Source organism: Homo sapiens, chromosome 3 (assembly GCF_000001405.40).
Source record: "Homo sapiens chromosome 3, GRCh38.p14 Primary Assembly".
Taxonomy (NCBI): Eukaryota; Metazoa; Chordata; class Mammalia; order Primates; family Hominidae; genus Homo; species Homo sapiens.
Window position 1 is genome coordinate 159,238,891 of NC_000003.12, and position 20,581 is coordinate 159,259,471.

The 20,581-nt window shown below is 39.8% G+C and overlaps 2 protein-coding genes across 7 annotated transcripts in view; both read left to right on the top strand.

Moving 5' to 3' along the window:
• IQCJ-SCHIP1 (IQCJ-SCHIP1 readthrough) overlaps positions 1-20,581 on the top strand; it is an 828,041-nt gene that overhangs the window by 169,572 nt on the left and 637,888 nt on the right. For 2 of the 4 annotated variants that reach the window (NM_001197113.2, NM_001414413.1), the window contains exons 2-3: positions 6,953-7,017; positions 13,837-13,917. In NM_001197113.2, coding sequence (NP_001184042.1) covers positions 6,953-7,017; positions 13,837-13,917 — 146 coding nt within the window. The remainder of the gene's footprint in view (positions 1-6,952; positions 7,018-13,836; positions 13,918-20,581) is intronic. The other 2 variants (NM_001197114.2, NM_001414414.1) reach the window with 1 other exon arrangement.
• The window catches only part of IQCJ (IQ motif containing J), a 196,989-nt gene that overhangs the window by 169,572 nt on the left and 6,836 nt on the right, over positions 1-20,581 (top strand). For 2 of the 3 annotated variants that reach the window (NM_001042705.3, NM_001042706.3), the window contains exons 2-3: positions 6,953-7,017; positions 13,837-13,917. In NM_001042705.3, coding sequence (NP_001036170.1) covers positions 6,953-7,017; positions 13,837-13,917 — 146 coding nt within the window. The remainder of the gene's footprint in view (positions 1-6,952; positions 7,018-13,836; positions 13,918-20,581) is intronic. The other variant, NM_001197100.2, reaches the window with a different exon arrangement.

A 20,581-nucleotide genomic window follows, 5' to 3' on the forward strand; every position in this document is an offset into this window, starting at 1 on the left:
TCACACAGACCTTGGCTGAGGAGTTTGGAATCTAACCTGACAGCAACAGGGAGCTAGTAGAAAAATGGCATTGTCTTCTAGTAAGAAAATGATATTGCCAGATATAAAATCAGAGACAAATGGGACTAGCAAGAGAAACCAATGATGGGGTAGATCTATTTGTGTTTGCTTTTAATAGTAAAATAAAACAAAGCTTTCTCAAAGGATGAAACTATGAGTGAAGATCTGTGGAGTAACATGACTTGCTTATCCATCTCTGAGAAAATGAGGACATGGTTTGGAACTTCCAGGCCAATTGAATTGAAGTGTTTTTGTATAGCTAGCTTAAATAACCAAATGATGAAATCAATCCTCCAAATTGTCAGCAGAGCAGCTGCTCAGAAAGCTCTTGTTAGTCATTGACCTTATGTTTAATATGATTTCCTAGAATGTGGATAGTCAGATATTGAATAAAGTACTGCATCAAAGCCCTCCCCACCCAGCAAGCTTTCTGCAATGAAATATTCAAGGAAAGGAGAGTGGCTGGCACAAATTGCAAAAATGCTTTTCTTTATGCCCCCTAAGTCCCCAGAGAAAAAAAAAATAGAAGAAAGCATACCACAGCCACATCTTGGAGAAGAAAGTGCCAGGACTGGCAGTAGCTCCATTTCTTTTCTAATCATGATGCAGGGGGAAGAAAAAATTACAACCTAAAAATTAACCTTTGGTTTTTAAGAATAGTTAAGATTTCTCATTCAAACTATTTCCTTTCTGTATCAGAGCAGCTTCAAGTTTGACCATTTCCAGTCCTGCACTGCATAATGCCGTTTGGCCAATATTGATCACATATACAACCCATAACAACATAACATTACAAAGGTTGCAATACAATATTTTTACTGTACTTTTTCTAGATTTGGATATGTTTAGATATACAAATATTTACCATTGTGTTATAATTTTCTTACAGTAACATATGCTTTATAGGTTTGTAGCCCAGGAGCAATAGGCTGTATCACATAGCCCAGGTGTGTAGTAAGCTATACCATCTAGGTTTGTGTAGGCATACTCTGATGTTCACACAATGATGAAATCTCCTAATGACAAATTTCTCAGGACATATCCTTGTTATTAAGCAACACGAGACAATATATGACCTAGATCTGTTACTTATGTCATTGGAGGTGGGGTGTGATATGATTAAAAAAAATAGGTAGGAAGTGTAGGGGAAAATAGGGGATAAATGTGGAGGCTTATTCTTAGAATATGGAACCAGAGTCTATAGGACTAAAGAGTAAGTTTTACCCTAAAAATAAAATGACATGTTAAATATTGCAAAGGATAATCTATCTATCTATCATCTATCATCTCTATATTTCTACCTATTATAATTACTCTGCCTATATGGTAGATATTAGCTTTCACTTACTATGAATATCACAAATGTAATAACAGAGTTAAAAATAAAGATGTTTATAGATCATGTAGTTAAAGAGGTGGGCAATGATTGTTCTAACTGCCTAAAAAGAATCCTTGTGGCAATTAAATATTTAATTTTGCTTAAGCTTCTACCAGCCAAAGCAAAACAAATGACCTCGTTAAGACTTATGAGTTGTTATTATTGATGAAAAGTAGTGTACTATTACATCAAAAGGGGCAAATATACCCTACTACTAAATTCTAAATTGTATTTCTCTTTAATTCCATTATATAAAAAAGAGATCCAGTGTTTTATATAGACACTCTATAATAGATCTCAATCCCTACCTCACCACAACATACATAAAAAGTAATTCACGGCCAGGCACTGTGGCTCACACCTGTAATCCCAGCACTTTGGGAGGCCGAGGTCCAGCACTACAGGAGTGCACCACTACACCCAGCTAATTTTTTTGTACTTTTTAGTAGAGAGGGGGTTTCACCTTGTTGGCCAGGCTGGTCTTGAACTGCTAACCTCAAGGGATCCACCCACCTTGGCCTCCCAAAGTGTTGGGATTATAGGCATGAGCCACCGCACCCGGCCCCGTCAGTGTTCTGAAAAAGACATTTTAAAAGACATGGCCAAAACAAAGCAAGCAAACAACAGCTTAGTTCTGAACTTTTATAATGCTATGGCTCATCTTAGAATTTTGTATTCACTAGTCCTAGGTTATGGCTCACATGGTAACTTCTCAGGATTCTTTTACTTGTATAAAAAACAACAACAAAACAAAACAGAAACCCCAACTGAAAGTGTTTTTTTTAAAGTGAGAGAATCTGGCCAGGAGCAGTGGCTCATGCTTGTAATCCCAGCACTTTGGGAGGCCGAGGCAGGCGGATCATGAGGTCAGGAGTTCAAGACCAGCCTGGCCAACATGGTGAAACCCCATCTCTATTAAAAATACAAAAAATTAGCTGGGTATGGTGGTGGGTGCCTGTAATCCCAGCTACTCGGGAGGCTGAGGCAGGAGAATCACATGATCCTGGGAGGTGGAGGTTGCAGTGAGCCGAGATCGCACCACTGTACTCCAGCCCGGGTGACAGAGTGACACTCTGTCTCAAAAAATAAAAATAAAATAAAATAAAATAAAAAATAAGTAGAATGAAACTTAAAAGTCCATCAATGTGCTGGTTTCAAGCTCCAGTTTGAAACAGATGTTCACAGCATCACCCTGGCTCTGGCCTTTTGTCTCTTTTTCCTTTGTCTCCATCCTCTTTGCTGTATTATATTTTTCCTTCAGTTAGTACCTGTCACAGATGCAAATACTTCTGTCACAGTTCCAGTGTCCCTCACATTTCAAAATCCTAACACTCCAGAATCCAGAGGAATAAACTGAAGTTCTTCTCCAAATCCTAAGGTAAAGTTTAAATAATTAACATTGGTTGAGCAACTACTATGTGCTGGGCACTATTCTAGGCACTGAAAATATAGTGGTGGATGTGACAAAAAACCTACTTCCATGGTGCCTACAATGTAGTGAGTGGAGACAATCAAACACAAATACATTAGGAAGTGATGAAGGTCATAAAGAAGTGAATAAGAGCATAAAGCATGGTAAATATACCACAAGTGATGGGTGACATTTTAGAGAGTTCAATCAAGGGAGGCTTTTTTGAGAAGGCAGTATTTGAGCAAATATCTGGATGAAGTGAGGAAGCCATGTGAGGGTAATGTTGATTGTAATTGTGCACAGAATTAATGTTCTGTGTACAAGGAACAGCGAAGATAAATGATCTAAAAGGGAGCAACCGTGGCTGTTTCTGAAACACCCCAAGACCAATATGGCTAGACAAGTGTGGGTTGTAGTATAGAGGGTGGCAGGAAATGAGGTCAGAGAGATAGGTGGGGGTTCGTGTTACATACGGCTCTATAGGCCATGGTGATGAGTTTGGATTTCATTCCAAAAGTGATGGAAAACCACTGAATTATGAAGAAGAAAACATCACTTATCTATATTTGTTTAACTATGATGAATCAAGAAATTAGTAGGTTGATCTTGCATGACAAGCATGTTCAGATGTTGGTAGATCAGAGTTGAAGCAGCAGCTCCATGGTTTCATCAGGGTCCCAGGTACCTTCGGTCTTTCTATTTTATTATCTTTAATGTGTGGTTTTCCTCCTTATAGGCACAATGGCTTTTGCACCCTGGATTTCACTACTATGATCCAGGCAGGAAGAAGAAGGAAGACCAAACATTAAAAGCCACATGCCAGCTGAATCTTTTTTTTTTTTTTTTGGTATCAGAAAAACAATAGTTTATATGGAAGCCCCATTTAGTAGACTTATGCTCATATTCATATGAAGAAGAATTGATCTCAATTCTTACCACACACCATACCCAAAAATTAATTGACCATACACCTGAATGTAAATGAACTATACATTTTCTAAGAGAAAATATAGGAGACTATATTTGGGGGCAGGAAAATATTTATTAGGACACAGAAAATACTAAATAACAAAAATAAAGTAAAACAATAAATTATATTGCATCAAAATGAAAAGATTTGCTTGTCAAAATATATTGATTGGGAAGAAATATTAGCAACACATACATCTGACAAAAGAGTTGTACCCCATAATATATAAAGAATTTCTACTGCTCAAAAAATAAGACATATAACTCAGTTAAAAACAAATGCAAAAAATACTCAACATTATTAGTTATCAGAGAAATGCAAATTGAAATCACAATAAGATATCACAAATCCAGGAGAATAACTAAAGTGAAAAAGACTGACATTGAATATTGGTGGGAATGTACAGCAGCTAGACTTCTCTTACATTGCTGGTTGGAATATAAAATAGCACAACCACTTTAGAAAACTGTGGAAGTTTCTTTATAAGTTAAACATGTATTTACCTCATGAGGTAGCAATTTCACTCCTAGATATTTACTGAAGAGAAATGAAAACACATCCACAAACACACTTGCACAACAGACTTGTTGTGCAAACAGATTTGCACAGCAATGATCATAGCAGCTTTATTCATACTAGGCCATATGGATATGAACACAATTAGAATGCCCATTAACAGGAGAATGGATTGTTGTGTATGTGTACAATAGAAAACTACTCAGCAATAAAAAGAAATGAGCTATTGATACATGCAACAGACAGCATGGACAAATGTCAAAATATAATGTTGAGTTAATTAAGCTGGACACAAAAGAATAGATAAATTTATACGAAAGTCTAGAACAGGCAAAACTAATCTACACAGATAGAAATCAGAACAGGGGTGCCTTTGGGAGAGGAAAATTGATTGTAAAGGGGAACAAAGGAACTTCCTGGGAATGATAAATGTTCTATATATTGTTTCGGCTGTGACTCTACCAATGGAAGCATTTGATAAAACTCACTGTATTGTACACTTATAAGGTGCATTTCATACTTTGTAAATTATACTCCAATTAAAAAAGAAAACCCAGGTACTACAAGACCACTCAGGTTATTATATGGAGAAGTGACTGATGTAGCCTAACCTAGAAAGCAGGGCAATAATTAGAAGATTACCATGGTTGGCTTAGACCAGACTGAGAGGTGGCCAAGTTCCAAATATATTTTGAAAGTGGGGTCAATAAGATTAGCTCATTGATTGACTATAAATGGTAAGAGGAAGAAATGAGTAAAGTCTGGTTCTTAGGTTTAACTCTTCATAGCTTGGTGAATAGTGATACCATTTGCTAAAATGAGGAAGAAGCAGTGAAGAAGGAGGCTTGGGTAGGAGGGTATGAGCAGAGAAATCAACATTTTGGTTTTGAGCTTGACATGCTTGTCAGACATGTACATGGAACTGTCGAGTAGGCAGGGTGGATATCATATTCGAGTAGAAGAGTGAAGTTTAGAGAAGAGATCAGATACAAATGTAAAATAGAAGCTGTGAGACTGGCTGAGATCCCCTGAAGAGTTAGGATAGATAGAGAAGAGGACAGATGGCTGGGACTGGCAGCTGGCATGTTTCCAGAGGTTTTGTAGGAGTGGGGAAGATCTGAAAACAGCAATGAGGAGCAAAGAGGGTCCCACTCAACCTCCACACCATGTAGTATGTAGCACGTGGGGAAGAAATGGCCATCTCTTAAGAGGACTGCAGGGGAGAAGGTGGGCTCAGGGACTCAGCCAACTTTTTCATCTGCAAAATCCTCTATATACTAGACCTCTTTTCTGAACAATTCTTTGCTCTTCCTGCTCTAACAAAAACTTAGCTGTCCCAGAATAGTGAGGCATAGTTTAGTTAGAACAACATAATTAAGGGTATATTCAAAGAAGTTGGGGAGATACAGGATTTTGCTGATGACAGACTGTAAAGGACCCACTGGAAAGGTTGGAAGGATTGGGGAGAAGTGGGTGATTAGGCCACATTCTGGAATGCAGTATGGGTTTAAGAGATTGCATAATGGGAGAGGTGATCTAGGAGACTTGGGTGTCTGGTGGGTTATAATCATGTAGAGGCTAGTCCTGATGGTCTTTTGGATGTAATTGAATAATTATTTCTAACTGCGCCTTCCCCTTGGGACTGGTCACTTTGACAATTTCTGGTGGGGGGTAAGTGGTGTGGTAAATGGTATGGTAGATAGTGTGGCCTCAGGGAATGGTGGTCTTCCCAGGAACAGAGTTCTGCGAGTCTTCCTTAAATCCTGCCATGATTGATAAGACTGAAGAAGGGAGTCTCACCAGGAAGCTGGGCCACATCCTGTCACACCTCTGTGGCCAGAGAAATGAGATTACAGAGACTACAAATGCCTGGAATTGAGGGATCGTGTGTGTGTGTATGTGTGTGTCTGAGCACGTGGGCTATGGAGAAGAGGTTGCCACGAGTTACTAAGAGACAAGAGAGAAGGGTTGCTGAATGGCCAAATGCAGCATGCAGTCATTAGAGTCTCTTACCCAGCAACCAGCAATGACAATACTGTTGAGAAAGTGAATTTGGAAAGAGTGTGGGTGGATCTATGTAAACATATCCAAATTCTGAAAAACTGATAGGAAACATTAGTGAGTAAAAAAAAAGTCACACAATTTGAGTGACAATATTATATTCTAACTTGATCAAGGATCATGTTGTATTTTTGTGTGTTTAAACACTTAACCATCACAAAGTCCTGAATTCTTTTTTTTTTTTTTTTTTTTTGAGATGGAGTCTCACTCTGTCGCCCAGGCTGGAGTGCAGTGGCGCAATCTTGGCTCACTGCAAGCTCCGCCTCCTGGGTTCACGCCATTCTCCTGCCTCAGCCTCCCAAGTAGCTGGGACTACAGGCACCTGCTACCATGCCTGGCTAATTTTTTTGTATTTTTAGTAGAGACAGGGTTTCACCGTGTTAGCCAGGATGGTCTCGATCTCCTGACCTCGTGATCCACCCGCCTCGGCCTCCCAAAGTGCAGTCCAGAACTCTTAATGTTGTGTTGTATCAATTTTGCTAACAGTTATGCTTGAATAGCATTGCTCGGAAGTAGCTGGTGACAATTTGTAAGATATATCTTCTCTTTTTCACAGGAAGAACTGAAAAGATTGCAGAATCCTCTAGAACAAGTTAATGATGGAAAATATTCATTTGAAAAGTAAGTAAAAAGTATTAAGTTAAATCATCTGCAAGGTTGGAAAGCTTGAGTAAAAAGAAAATCTTTCTGGTAAAAATAAGTAAGTAAATTGGACAGTTTCTTATGTTATCATTGTGGTCAGAGCCCAGAAATGTGGCTCATTTGAGATATAGGTAGATAAATGTATGACTAGTTGAGCAATGAAAAACAAGCTCTACTGCTTAACAGAGTAATATGATGCCTGGAAGATGTTTCTGGTGGTATGTCTGAGGGCTTGAAACTTAACTCTGACCTGTCTTAGTCTTTTAATCAGGGACATTTGTAGAAGGCAGGCATAAAATTTGTAAAAAGTGCAAAGCTAACACTAAGACTAACAGACTGAACATTCAAATTAACACTACAGAATGGGACAAAACTGAGCTAAAATAAAGCAAAAAAGAAGAGATGAAATTGAACAGAGATAAAAGTAAATATTTATAATATACCCTGTACTGTTGAACACTCAGAGACTCATCAAATTCTGATTATAGCCTTTTGATATAGGCATTATTATTTCCATTTCACGGATGAGGAAAAACAGGCTCAGCGAGGTTTCAGCAACTCCATGTATACTCAGCTAGTGAGTGGTGAGAATGGGAAATAAACCCGGGTTTGGTTGCCTCGAGAATCCTTGCTCTCAATCACTGGCTGAGCCCTAATGTACTCAGGACTAGTCAAGCTGGTTGGGTGTCATGCTTGGCTCTGGACACCACGTTTAAGAATCACATTGACATTGCCAAGAGTATTAGAAGAGGTCAATTAAAATTGTGAGAGTTCTGGAACCATGTGAAACTACTACAAAGAGCTGAGGATGTGTAGCTTGGAGAAAAGAAGTCTCAGAAGAAATGTAATAGCTGTCCTCAAACATTTGAAGGATGTTCCTATAAAAGAGAGGCTAAGTTGCTCTTCGTGCTCCAGAAAATAGAACAAGAGTCAATGAGTAGGATATATGGAGAAACAGCATTGTGACTCAGATAAGGAAAAACTTTTGTAAAAGTTCAACCTACCCCCAAACAGAATGAACTTTGTTAAGAAGTGAGCCGTGGAGGGGCAGAAAGGCATCACACCTTTCCTCACTCATTATAAGGAGCACAGCCAACACTCCTGTAACAAAAGACAGGTTAACAAAAGAAAAGCACAACAAGCTTATTTAATCAGAGTTCTTTATTTTGTTGTATTTTATTTTTTTGAGGTGGAGTCTCACTCTGTTGCCCAGGCTGGAGTGCAGTGGCACTATCTCAGCTCACTGCGACCTCCGCCTCCCGGGTTCAAGTGATTCTTCTGCCTCAGTCTCCTGAGAAGCTGGGATTACAGGCACGTGCCACCACGCCCGGCTAATTTTTGTATTTTTAGTAGAGTCAGGGCTTCACCGTGTTGCCAGGCTGGTCTCAAACTCCTGACCTCAAGTGATCCACCCACTCAGCCTCCCAAAGTGTTGGGATTACAGGTGTGAGCCACCGCGCCGGTCTATTTACTCAGGGTTCTATGTGACATGGGATCCTTCAGAAATGAAAACCAGGGAAATTTTCCACTTTAATAGTTAGTTTTGATGAAGAATGGACAGCCCTGTAGAAATGTGATTGGACAAAAAGGAAGGATCTACTGTATGAGATGGGAAAACCCAGCAAGGCTGTCAGTTCAGATTCTTCTTGGCCTCTCTGTGCAGCATTCCTTCCTCTTGGGCATGGGGCAAGAACCTCTGGAATGAGGGTCTTAGGACTCTCCGTCAGACTAGGTAGGTCAGAGAATTTGTTTATGACCAGATTTTACACAGAAAAGCAGGGGAAGGTTAGAGGAATATTTTTAGTTTTTGTAGCTTGTTTGGGGGAGAAGGGTTCTAGTTTCTATGACCTGCCTTGTGGAAGAGGAATTCTGGTTTTTATGGCTTGCATCATGGAAGAAAGAGGGACAGGGACAGAAGGGCAAGAGAAGGTCAGAGAGAAAGTGACTTTGCTTCTGAGGCCTTTTCTCCTTCGGTTCAAAGAACTCAGCATGCCAAACACCATACTTTACAGTATGTGCTGAGCCCCAGTAGCTGATAAGATACTGGAAGTGCCCAAGAAGAGTGTAAATGACCATACATCTGAAATGTTGTTAAAAAATATCCTGGAAAATTGAAAACTTTGGGTCTGATGCCTCTTTCTACTCTTTCTTAGCTTTGTCAGTCCAGACAAAATTTTTAACCATCTTGAGCCCCACTATACTTATCTTTAAAAATGAGAATAGTAGTCTTGACTTGACAGTCTTATTGAGAGCATTAAATGAGACAGCCCATAATAGCCTGATACCTTCAATGCTGGCTCCTTTCCTTTCCATCTGGGCAAGGGTTTGGGCAAGACAATCTCAAAGGTTCATTCCATCTGCACGATCCTAAGAATCTGGCATGTCATCAGATTGAAAGGAAGTTTCAGCCCTTTGACCAAATGAAGTTTCTGTTCATTTATTTTTATTATGCCTGCTCTCGTTAATATGAATAAATAAGAATAAAATAGTAGAATTTCCCTCCACCACCACCGTCAATAGCTATATGTAAACAATAACTAAAGAGTTTTTTGCTGACAGTAGAATGAAGACTTTTCTTTTATAGAGATTACTGTTGTAATGACATTAGGTCTAGATCAGTTATTTTTCACCTTGGCTGCACTTAGAATCAGCTGGGGAGCTTAATAAAAATGCCCTGGCTTAAGCTCCACTCTAGAAAAATTGAATTAGATTCTCAGGGGATGAGGCCCTGGAATCAGTATTTCTTAACATCTTCCTTCATGTAGCTCTAACACGGAGTTGGGGTTGAGAACCAGTAGTGAAAATATATTTTAGGCTCATTTCACTTATTCAATAATCTCCTCATGCAGCTTAATTCTCCAAGGACACACTTTCTGTATGATGTTTGGCCCATTTATTTATTAAACCTGGCCATGCTGGTTTTTCATTATTGATTTTTTTTTTTTTGAGATGGGGTCTTGCTCTGTCACCCAGGCTGGAATGCAGTGGTGTGATCTTGGCTCACTGCAACCTCCACCTCCTGGGTTCAAGCAACTCTCCTGCCTTAGCCTCCTTAGTTGCTGGGATTATAGGTGCCTGCCACCACACCGGCTAATTTTTGTATTTTTAGTAGAGACAGGGTTTCACCGTGTTAGCCAGGCTGGTCTCGAACTCCTGACCTCAGGTAATCCACCCGCCTTGGCCTCCCAAAGTGCTGGGATTACAGACGTGAGCCACTGCGCTCAACCCATTATTGATCTTAACGTAGGAAATGAAGTTTTTTTTGTTCTGCTAACTGACCACAATTCTATATTAAACCTCTCACTAACACCAGCATGTATCTTTCTCAACTGTCTTCTCTCAGGAAGATATTTGAAAATTAATGGTATATACGTGGGTTTCCATCTGCCCCACCCTACTCTTTCTGCTTTATTATCCAGAGGACTGAGAAAGCTAAAACTTTCTGGAAATGACCAGTTTGTTTTGTGTGCTTATTTTTTTTCAATCCCGATTGAGGAATTCCAGCAATGGGAATTAAATACTTCCTTCAAAGCACATGGGCCCATGGGGGTAACCTTTCCTTTCATGCTTGTCCAGGACAGAGAGAAAACAAGCAGTGACCACCAGCCCTAACAACTATACCCATTTGCCTGGAATTCTGGAGATTTTTTTGGTCTGTTTCAGGTCAGGACTACGTCCTTGAATGCTGTCAAATTTGATTGAAAAATTGGTGTACTTTGAGTGAGCAGATTAGGCATTTCGTTATAGCTGCAGCTGACTTAGGTGCTGATGTAAATCATCTCAGCTACTTGAAATAACCATAAGTTAAGTGATAGTGGTGTCAGAACAGTTGATTGGTTATTCCCCCTTGGAACATTACATTTATTCTGAATGCTCAACAGGGTTTTGTGGTAGACAGTTAGTGTGAAGGGGAGGGAAGCTGCAGCTCCATACTATCTGAGACCATTGGCAGAGCCAATCAAGTGCATTTGTGTACACACACACACACACACACACACGAGCTTAGCGAAGCTTGGCATGTGCCAATAAACAGAGAAGAGCAATTGGTAAGGCCATTAATTGGAAGGCTACTTATGACTCCGTTGTTTAGGAAAATCACTTATTAACTTAAGTAAGACCTTAGGCTGACTGCCATATTTTTGTAAATATTAAATCAGCCTGGGTTTCTGGTAAGAGATGTGTGATTGCAAGTCACACATTGTACTGAGGAGTAATCATTTTATTACCCACAGACAATTATTGATGGAATGAACTAAAGCTATCAGATTTAAACCAACAGGTATTGGTAGTTTATAGTTTGGTGAGGATATATAAATAATACCCCCAAATTAGCAAACGTGTTAATATTATGAAAGTTTTATTTTCTTTATGAAAACATTAGGTCTGTCTTTGTTGCATATCTACAGGCCCTACAATATATAACTTTATTGCTTAATTTGTAATTAATAAGTAACAAGAGTCTTAAAGTATCCTTGTCATAAGTCTGTATATATAATATATAGAATTATAAAAATAAGACTTTCTGTGTTAGTCCTTTCTCACACTGCTATGAAGAAATACCTGAGACTGGGCAATTTATAAAGAAAAGAGATTTAATTAACTCACATTTCCACATGGCTGGGGGCGCCTCAGGAAACTTGCAATCTCGGCAGAAGGCACCTCTTCACAGGGCAGCAGGAGAGAGAATGAGTGCCCAGCAATTGGGGGAAGCCCCTTATAAAACCATCAGATCTTGTGAGAACTCACTATCATGAGAACAGTGTGGGGGAAACTGCCCCCATTATTCAATTATTAGATTATCTCCACCTGGTCTCGTCCTTGACATGTGGGGATTATTACAATCCAAGGTGAGATTTGGGTGGGGAGAGAGCCAGATCATATCACTTTCTATGCCCACCTACCCAGGATTAGGTTCCTCCGTGATTCTCCTTTAATAATATCTGTCACACTTGCAAATACTTGTGTAATGTTCATGTTCTCCTAGATTGTGGGACCACAGGAACAGGGACCATGTCTAGTGTTTTCACCATTTTATCCTCCATGCTTTGCATCATTCCTGCCACACAAGAGACATTAAATATATGTGTAGAATGAGTGATTAACAATTAATTAGTAATGGACCCTGAATACCAATGGCACAGAGTAAACAAGAGTGCTTCCTTGCCCCTCAACAATCAGGCTGAGTAACCCCAAGCTATCTTGGGGTGCTGACACCACCTACTTGTCATGTAGGAATTTATGTGCTCTCCTATGTTTTCCCTACCGCCAGGACATTCCTTTCTAAAAAGAAAAAAATACATTTGTGATTCTAAGGGATCTCTCCAGCACAATTTTTTTCTTTTTTTCCCTTTTCTTTACTACCACCATATTCCTAGTCCTCATAACCTGGACTATTTGAATAGCTTTCTAACTAGTTTTATGTCACTCTCCTTGCTCACTCCCACCACAAATCATCCTTAAACCCTCCATTTATCATATTTCCCTGCTCCAAATGCATGGAGCTCCCTGCTGCAATAGATTATGATCTACAGTGTGAAAAGCTTTTCACACTGTAGATCATAATCTATTGATGGTTTGTTAAATAAATTTGGTGGGTCACCACTGACCTTTTAAAAAAAGTTTCAAATATAATTCAAAAATCAAAGTATATCACATGTAGTTGGGGGAGTAATGTTTCTTGAAATTTTTATTGCACACACACACACACACCCCTACCTTACCACATGCACAAGTACTGAATTGGGATGTTAAATATATTACCTATGAAAACTTCAGTCAGTGGGATTAAGTTTAATAATCCTGATATTAAAATACTCCAACCAGTGCCTTCTGGTGGAGAGAGCAGTGAGATGTGAGTTTTAATGGGGTTCCTCCTGTACAGTAAATTTAACATTATCTCTCCAAGCTTCAGATTTTTCAGCTGTACAGTGGGGAAAGTGACTTAGTTAATGGAAGTTACTGTGATAAATAAGATAATGCACATAAAATGCCTATGACAGTGTGTTATACACATTATGAGACCAGTAACTATTAGCTTTCTGCTTATCAAAGCCTATTTCCTTTTGTTCTCCTATTTTTTTCATCCACTTCGACCAAATTTCTCTTTATTTTCTAAAAATATCCTTTGAATGTTTTCACCTCTATTTGTTTTATTGTCTTCCTCATATGTTGCCCTTCACTCTCAACTTACCTACTTCCTATCCGTCCTTCAAAACTCATCCCAAGAGCTGCCTTCTCCATGAAGCCCTTCTTGATCGTTGTAGCACTAAGAGTGCTATAAGCTCACTGAAAGCAGTGATCATTTCTCTATAGCCCTCTGCCTTTCTACAGGTCAGAGATCCATGCTTTGTTCCCAGTGGAAGCCCTGAAACGGCTTACAAATGAAAGGAGGAAAGGTCCAGTGGCAGTGGTACTACTGGGGATGAGTAAGGTCTTCTCTACAACTTACTAGTTGGCCAGTATCATGGAATTTATAACCATATCCTTGTGTTTTTTCTCCCCCTGAAATTGTCCAATATGCTCCTTTTCTTTTCTCTTAAAGGAAATGATTTTCATACCATAGCTATGAATGTTAGTTGAGAACAGCAAAAGGACAACAGAAATAAAAGTCAAAGCCACATTTTTTTTTTCATGATATGGTTACTCATCCATCATCCATCAACAGGAACTTTAATAAATTAAAATAAACAAAATTGAATCTACATCTTATTTTACACATAAGTATAAATTAGCAGTATTATTGCTATAGATGTTAACCTTCTGGATTGGGAGATATTGAGACATTATTTCTGTTTCTAGTCACCAGCTGGCCATGGATGCAGAGAATAATATTGAAAAGTATCCCCTCAATCTACAGCCCTTGGAATCAAAGGTGAAAATGTAAGTTATTTCAAAGTATAAATTAAGCAATTAGTTCTAGTTTTATGAATTCCTGAATAAATCTGGAATTTTCGGGCACAACAGTTATGCATCTTTATTTTACATTCATGTGCTGCATATTATTTCCTCCCTCTTCTAAGCAGGAACACAGCTACTTTGGGTACACAGCACCATCTACTGGGTAGTACAGGGAATTATTTGCTTGCCATTATTTTCACCACTTTTTGGTTTTTCCATTTCTTGTCTAGTACAATCCTTTAACTTCCACTAGCATTTTCCTTTGCCTTTCGTCTTAGTAACTTGGTGGTTAATTCTATCTTTGAACAATTTGGTTATTTCCACCTCAAGCCATCTATGTATCACACACACACACACCCTTTTAAAAATCCTCTTCTTTCTATTTCAGCTTCTTTTCAATTATTTTGGGAAAATGTTTCTTCTCTTCTTTTTTTCTCACTTCTTATCCTTTTCTTCTTATTGTCTGTTAAGATACCCAAATGTAAGCCTCCTCCCCCATTATAAATGACTATTACCTTAAAATAGTGCTAACAACATCTCAATATTAACAAAATGAAACTAACAAGATCCAAATTGAGAAAGACTTTATTATAGAACAAAATATTAACCTTCTAAAACCATTTTAAGTAGAGAAGGGGCCTGTTATAATTACCTTGGAAGCAATTTCAAAAATATTTATGACCGTTTTCCGAGATCTTTTCCTGTTCTGATTTTCCTTCAGAAGCATATATGAGAAATGCCAGTGAGTGTATATTTAATCTCTCTCCCCACCCTCTCCCTCACAAACACACACACACACACACACACACACTCACACACTCAGTATAACACTCCGAGAAGCATGAGAATTTAAACGAGAATGTTAACATATCTGAGCTTGGCCAGAATCACTGATCTGTTTTTTAACGTGCAAGGAGGAATCTTTTAGAAAAGAAATCGCCCTAAAGAAGGGCACCTTGAGGTGTGTACAACGTTGAACAACACCAAGTTGTTGCTGGACTTAGGAACTAAAACAGAAATCACACAAATACATAATATCCTGCTGGATAAGAGCAAATACCAATACATACCCCTGTAAATCTATGTTAACCTTGGTCACCAGTAAAAAGCTTGCCTCTGCATGAGCATAGAAGGCTACCCCTCAAGATGAAGTCCAAACAAGACTTCTGAACCAGTGGGGTGCCCAGCTACAAAGTTCTGTGTCACACTTACTAAATACATAATGAATCAGGCTATCGAATCATTTTGTGTAAGCAGTGTGTCAGCCTCACTACACAGGACATTAGTTGGCAAACATAGGTTGCTTTATCATTAGGAATTTTCTCATTAAGATAAGGTCCTGTTAAATGAAAATGTGCTGGTGAAAGAAAAGTTGGTGTATGACAAATTAGAGTGTTTAATGTGAATGCTGAAATTAAGTTAGAAAAACTCCTGGGTCTTTTTCAGTTCCCATCACCTTCAATATGTAGGGGCTGTGGGGTAGGTACCAGGAGAAGGACTAGGCAGAGAAAAAAAATCTCTGTGCTTCAGATTCCAGCCAGCTCAGAGAGCCTGAGATTTTATATTTGTTGATTTGTTGGAGGAGTCTCAGCTCAATGAGGTGCAAACAGAATGGTTTTTATCTCTTCTAATAATTCTGAATCCCATTTCTGCTCACTGGAGAGAAAGGAAGGAGAGAAAACTTAATCTTGCCCAACAATAGAACTTGAGTCCCATTGGAGAGTTTAGTCTAGTTCAGTGACTTTTGTCTGATGTGGTTATTAAATTCTTAACTCTCATGGCAGGTTGAAAATCTCCTCTCTGCATACATGAGACCTTTTCTACAGCTGAGTATTCTGCTTCCTTCCTTTCCCTCTCCTCTTTCTATCTCCCCTTCTCTCCTCCTTCCTTCTCCCTTCCCTCCTTCTCCCTTCCTTTATCAGTGTTACCTCTCCCACCCCCATGTACTAAATACCAAGACTGCCCCAGGTTTCCTATGAATAGATGGCGGACACTTTCACTCTCAGCAGTTGTTTCCTTTAACAACTGTCCTATGTTTTGGGACTCTGAGGGAAGGGGCCATTGGGTCTCCTGTAATCCCCCCAATAGTATAGGCTGCACATCCTCAATGGGTTTGTGCCCCTTGCTCTGCGGGGGCTTTGCCCCATGATGCACCAAGCAGTGCCTTCCTCCAGCTGACCGTGGCATCTTCAACAGGGACAATCTTGGGATATTCTCATTCCTGCTTTCCAAGATAAGTTTTTTTAGTCCTGAAGAGCATTGGGTATAAAAAATGTGCCCTTGTCCCAGGTACCACGGTCACCCTGTATTATCACAGGCTTTCTCTTAGGGTCTTTTGACTTCTTTTGGTGGGGACCAACTGAGAGTCTATCTTCTCCTGGGGGTGGAGGGAAGTGAGGGTCAGTCCACCATAAAATCCCCTCTCCTGAAGGCTCTCCTTTCCCCTCCATGATGAGAAAAGAGTAAACAGTTCCCATACAGGGTGTCTGGCTAGTCTAGTGTCTGCAAGCCCTGAGGGGGATGGAGGTGCTGTGGCAAGGCAATCTCTGAATGTAAAAGAGAGGAAAGATGAGACCTGTTCTCAGGTGTGGACTGCCTTCACTGTCTACCTGTGGGAATCCCAGGATGGGGTCAGAATAGCAGGAAAGGGTCTCAGATGGTTCCTCGTACTCAGGACATCGTGAAAAGGAAAGAATTTATAAGAAAGTGTAAACCTGCGTGTGGCAATGCAAAGTATCAGTGGCAGGAGGCAGAGGCCTGTCAGAAAGTGTGGCTCAGTGAAAAAATGTGTGAGTGTCGGGGAGGGTGCCTGTATCAAAGTTGAAGGGAGTGTCACAAAGGGTCCATTACCTGGTTCATGAATGCAACTGTTAAGAGGTAATTTTGAGTATTAGACCAGAGGATCAAAAGAGTGCATCAAAAGGGCAAAAGCAATCAAGATCGTATGGCTATTAATGAAAAGGCATTTGGGGGAGGTAAAAGGCAAGTTCTCTGAAGATTAAACAAAGGCAAGCCTCTCAAATCAGAAAATTTGTGAAAGTAAAAGTAATAGTGAAAGCACCAAAAGGAAGGCTCTCTGAGCAACTCTAAGGCTAAAGATGAATGTGTTCCTAAGAGCCTTAAGGCTGGAACAAGCTTTGGGGGATGAAGGTGCACAGCAAAGGAATGCAGGCTTAGTGAGAAGGCCTCGCAGCACAGGCAGAGGTGGGCTCCCCCAGCCCCAACAGGCTGCTGCCCTCCACCTTGTAATTCACTCTTTTCATGTTGTAGCAAGATCTAAAACAGATCTTCCTAATACAAACCCTCATGTAAAAGTTGTTCATTAGCTATGTGCGATCCCCCAATCCCCTTCCATACATTTTTAACAATGTATTTACTTTGTGATGGAACAACATAGAGATGTATTGAATACAAATTGCTTTTTTGAAAGTCAGCTCAATAAATATGCTCAATCCCTCTCCTGATTTTTATTATTATATTTGATTTTGTAATGAAACAACATTTAGGTTCTATAAAGGAGAGAGAGGGGCAGAGAGAGAGAGAGAAAGACAGAGAGACAGAGAGAGATAGCATTCCCAAAAGAACTTTAAAGATGTTTAGTAAACCCTTATTAAATTGCATTTGAGAGTAATACATTTCTACTTTAGTCAAAAATTTAATTAAAAGAAGATATGAGAGAAGAGTGGTTGAGAGCACAGACTTTGAGTAACTTAGGTTCAAATCCCAGCTCTGCTTTTTACCTGCTGTGTGACCTTGGGAACACCAGTGGCCTCTCTGGGCCTCAGTTGCACTCCTCTGTAAAACGAGAATGCTAACATGTCTTATTAAATTGTAGTCAGCTTTCAATGAGAAAATTCAAGACTAGACATTTAGTCTACTGTATTTTTTCCATGCAAACATACCTTTTTCAAACATATTTTTATGTCCACTTGGGCTAATAAAATATTGCCAGGAGGGATCCTTAGATGATTTGCACAGGTGACTTCAAAGTATTTGAAAATGTTTGATATGTCCTTTCCTTAAGTAATTATAATAGTTTATCTAGGAGCTCTATTTGTCAAGTTTGGGCTAAGTAATTTACATACATTATCCTTGACTTCTTGCAGGGGTTACAAAGAAGTTATTCTTACTCCTATTTTATGGATAAGAAAGAGGGAGGCCAGTGTGTTTAGTATTTTGTCTAAAGCTACAGCTCATGAGAGGTAAACTAGGCAAGAACCTCTATGACTCTAAGCATACTTTATCATGAGATAAAACTTTTTCTTCTTTGAGCTATTTCTGGGATGCAATGTTAGAAGAATTACATTTGTTAATCACCTACTTGTCATATATCCCAGAACTGTGGAGTGGTCACTGCCCTCAAGGATTTTACATTCTAGTGGGGGAAGAGGACTTGTTTGAAAAGAAGCATTTGGATTAGCCTAATCTGATACTCTTCTTTTTGGATGTTTAATAGTATTGCAGGACCACTATTTTCTTTCTTAGACTCAGTAACCCTGGGTGCATTATTTCTGAAGCACCTTCTCAGTCCTCATAAAGAAAAGAGTGTTATAGATCCAGGACCCAAATTGCCCAAATTCTCATGTGTGAGAACATTGACATTCTTGACAGTCTGCAAAGTTATGGGTATTTGAGAAGAGACCTATGGAAAGAGCCAAGAGAGCATAGGCCCTGGTGCGTAGGAAGCATCATCCATCAGTGTGGCAGTGAAGTCGAGAGCTACAAACCGGGCGGATACTGGAGTGGAGGGGAAGCAGGCTGGAAAGAGAGGGCAGTTTCTGTGGGAAACCTGCCTGTTGCATGCAGTGGCCCCGTATTGACATTTGAACAAGTTTGTATCAGGATACAGGGTTGGGATAGATAACAAATGATGCAAATATGATATATCTGTTAGGATAGCTTTTAGCTAGCTGCATATAGAAAAATCAACTAACAGACTGAAATAAGTAGGGGTTCTACTTCTCCACTCACAGTCAGTATATGACAAGCCAAACCCACTGTCTCCATCCTGTTTCTCTATTTCTGCCTTTTGCTGAACCGTAAGGAGGGAACAAACGTAATGGGGAGGCAGGGATCTGCTCTGAGTTTTGGGAATGATGATCAGTTCCCATCTTGTTTCCTGAGACCGGCCAGGACTGTTTGGTTGTAAGTATCAGAAACTCAGCTCAAACTAATTTATAGATGTAAAAAAGATCATATTGAATCACATAACAGAAATACCCATGGTCTAACGTGCTTTAAGCACACTGAAACCCGGGCGATTGGGCAAGGTTATCAGGCATCTGTCTTTCTTCTTCTATAAACTCTGCTCTTTCCATGATTCATTCTCATGTGGGTTCTCACAACATTGCAACAAAGTGGCCACTGCCAGCTCTAGGCTTGCAGGTAGTTTCAGCTCTACTTGCTGAAACTTTAGATGAAAAAGAGGGCCTTTTTCTCATAGTCTCAGTACAATCCCCAGAGCAGCCTTTAATAGACCTGGCTTGAACCATGTGTGCATCTCCAAACTGAACCAACCACGGCCCTCTGGCTAGTCAGCCCGGGGGAATGGACCACCCTCTACAGTGATAGGGTAGGATCTGTTTCATCCAAAGCTCGTGGGTAAAGAGTTGGTGGATCCGCAAAACCAATGAAAAGGAGAAATTAATATTGGGCACGCAAAATCTACCCATGTGATAATCATGGTGCCTCCCTCACAGTTCACTTGTGGTAAGGATTGAATGAGAGAATCAACACAAAAAAGAGCTCTATGTATGTCAGCTATTGTTTCCAAGATACTCAGATTCAATGTATCCTCTCTGATGGTGTCCTCTTTTGTCCATCCCTAAATTCAGCCTACTTGAGTTATAATGTATTTTGAATTTTTTATAATTGTTTGGTAACATATAAAAAATAGTACTTTCTCATAAAAAATCAAGATTTCTGGCTGTTCTTGAAAAGTTGAAACCAATTATCAACTGCACCAAAGCAGGGTTGCCCACACTGCCCAGTCTGTGCCCCACTGCACAGTCTGCCCCCAGCCTGACCCCAGGTGGCTTCTGAGAGCCTCTTGCCATCTTTGTAGCCTCAGACTTACTGCTCTTCTCTGGGATCCTCCTGCTTCCTGCCTGGTGTCTTCACTTCTGTGCCTTTGCCCAAAGATCTTCTTCCTCTCCATCAATCTCAATCCCATCCATGCTTCAGGACTAATTAAAATACTAGGACTCCCTCAAGCCTTCTCTAAGCACCCTAGCTCTCTGGGAACCCTCTCCTCTCCTCTTCTAGATAAACATATGCATTGGCAACCCGGACTGCACTGGCTGTGAGTCCCCCAAGTGGCTGTGAGTGCATGACAGAGCCAACCGCACTGCAAAACACACAGGGATATACAGAAAAAGGGCAGAGGCAGGCAGATTGTGCCACCCCTGCTATAAGAGAAGATACACAGGAACTGACCTAGCAAAAAGAAAAATTGTTGAAAATGTATTTGTCATCTGTTTAGAAGTAAACCCTTACACTTTATTTATAATTCAAAATATAGGAGCACACAACATGTGCTTTCTTACTTCAACAAGCCTTTAAATAATTATAATGAATAGCATTGTCTAGTTTCAAAAAAAAAATGTCAAGGTAGTGGGTAATTTACTCTGTAGCCACAAAGGAGACT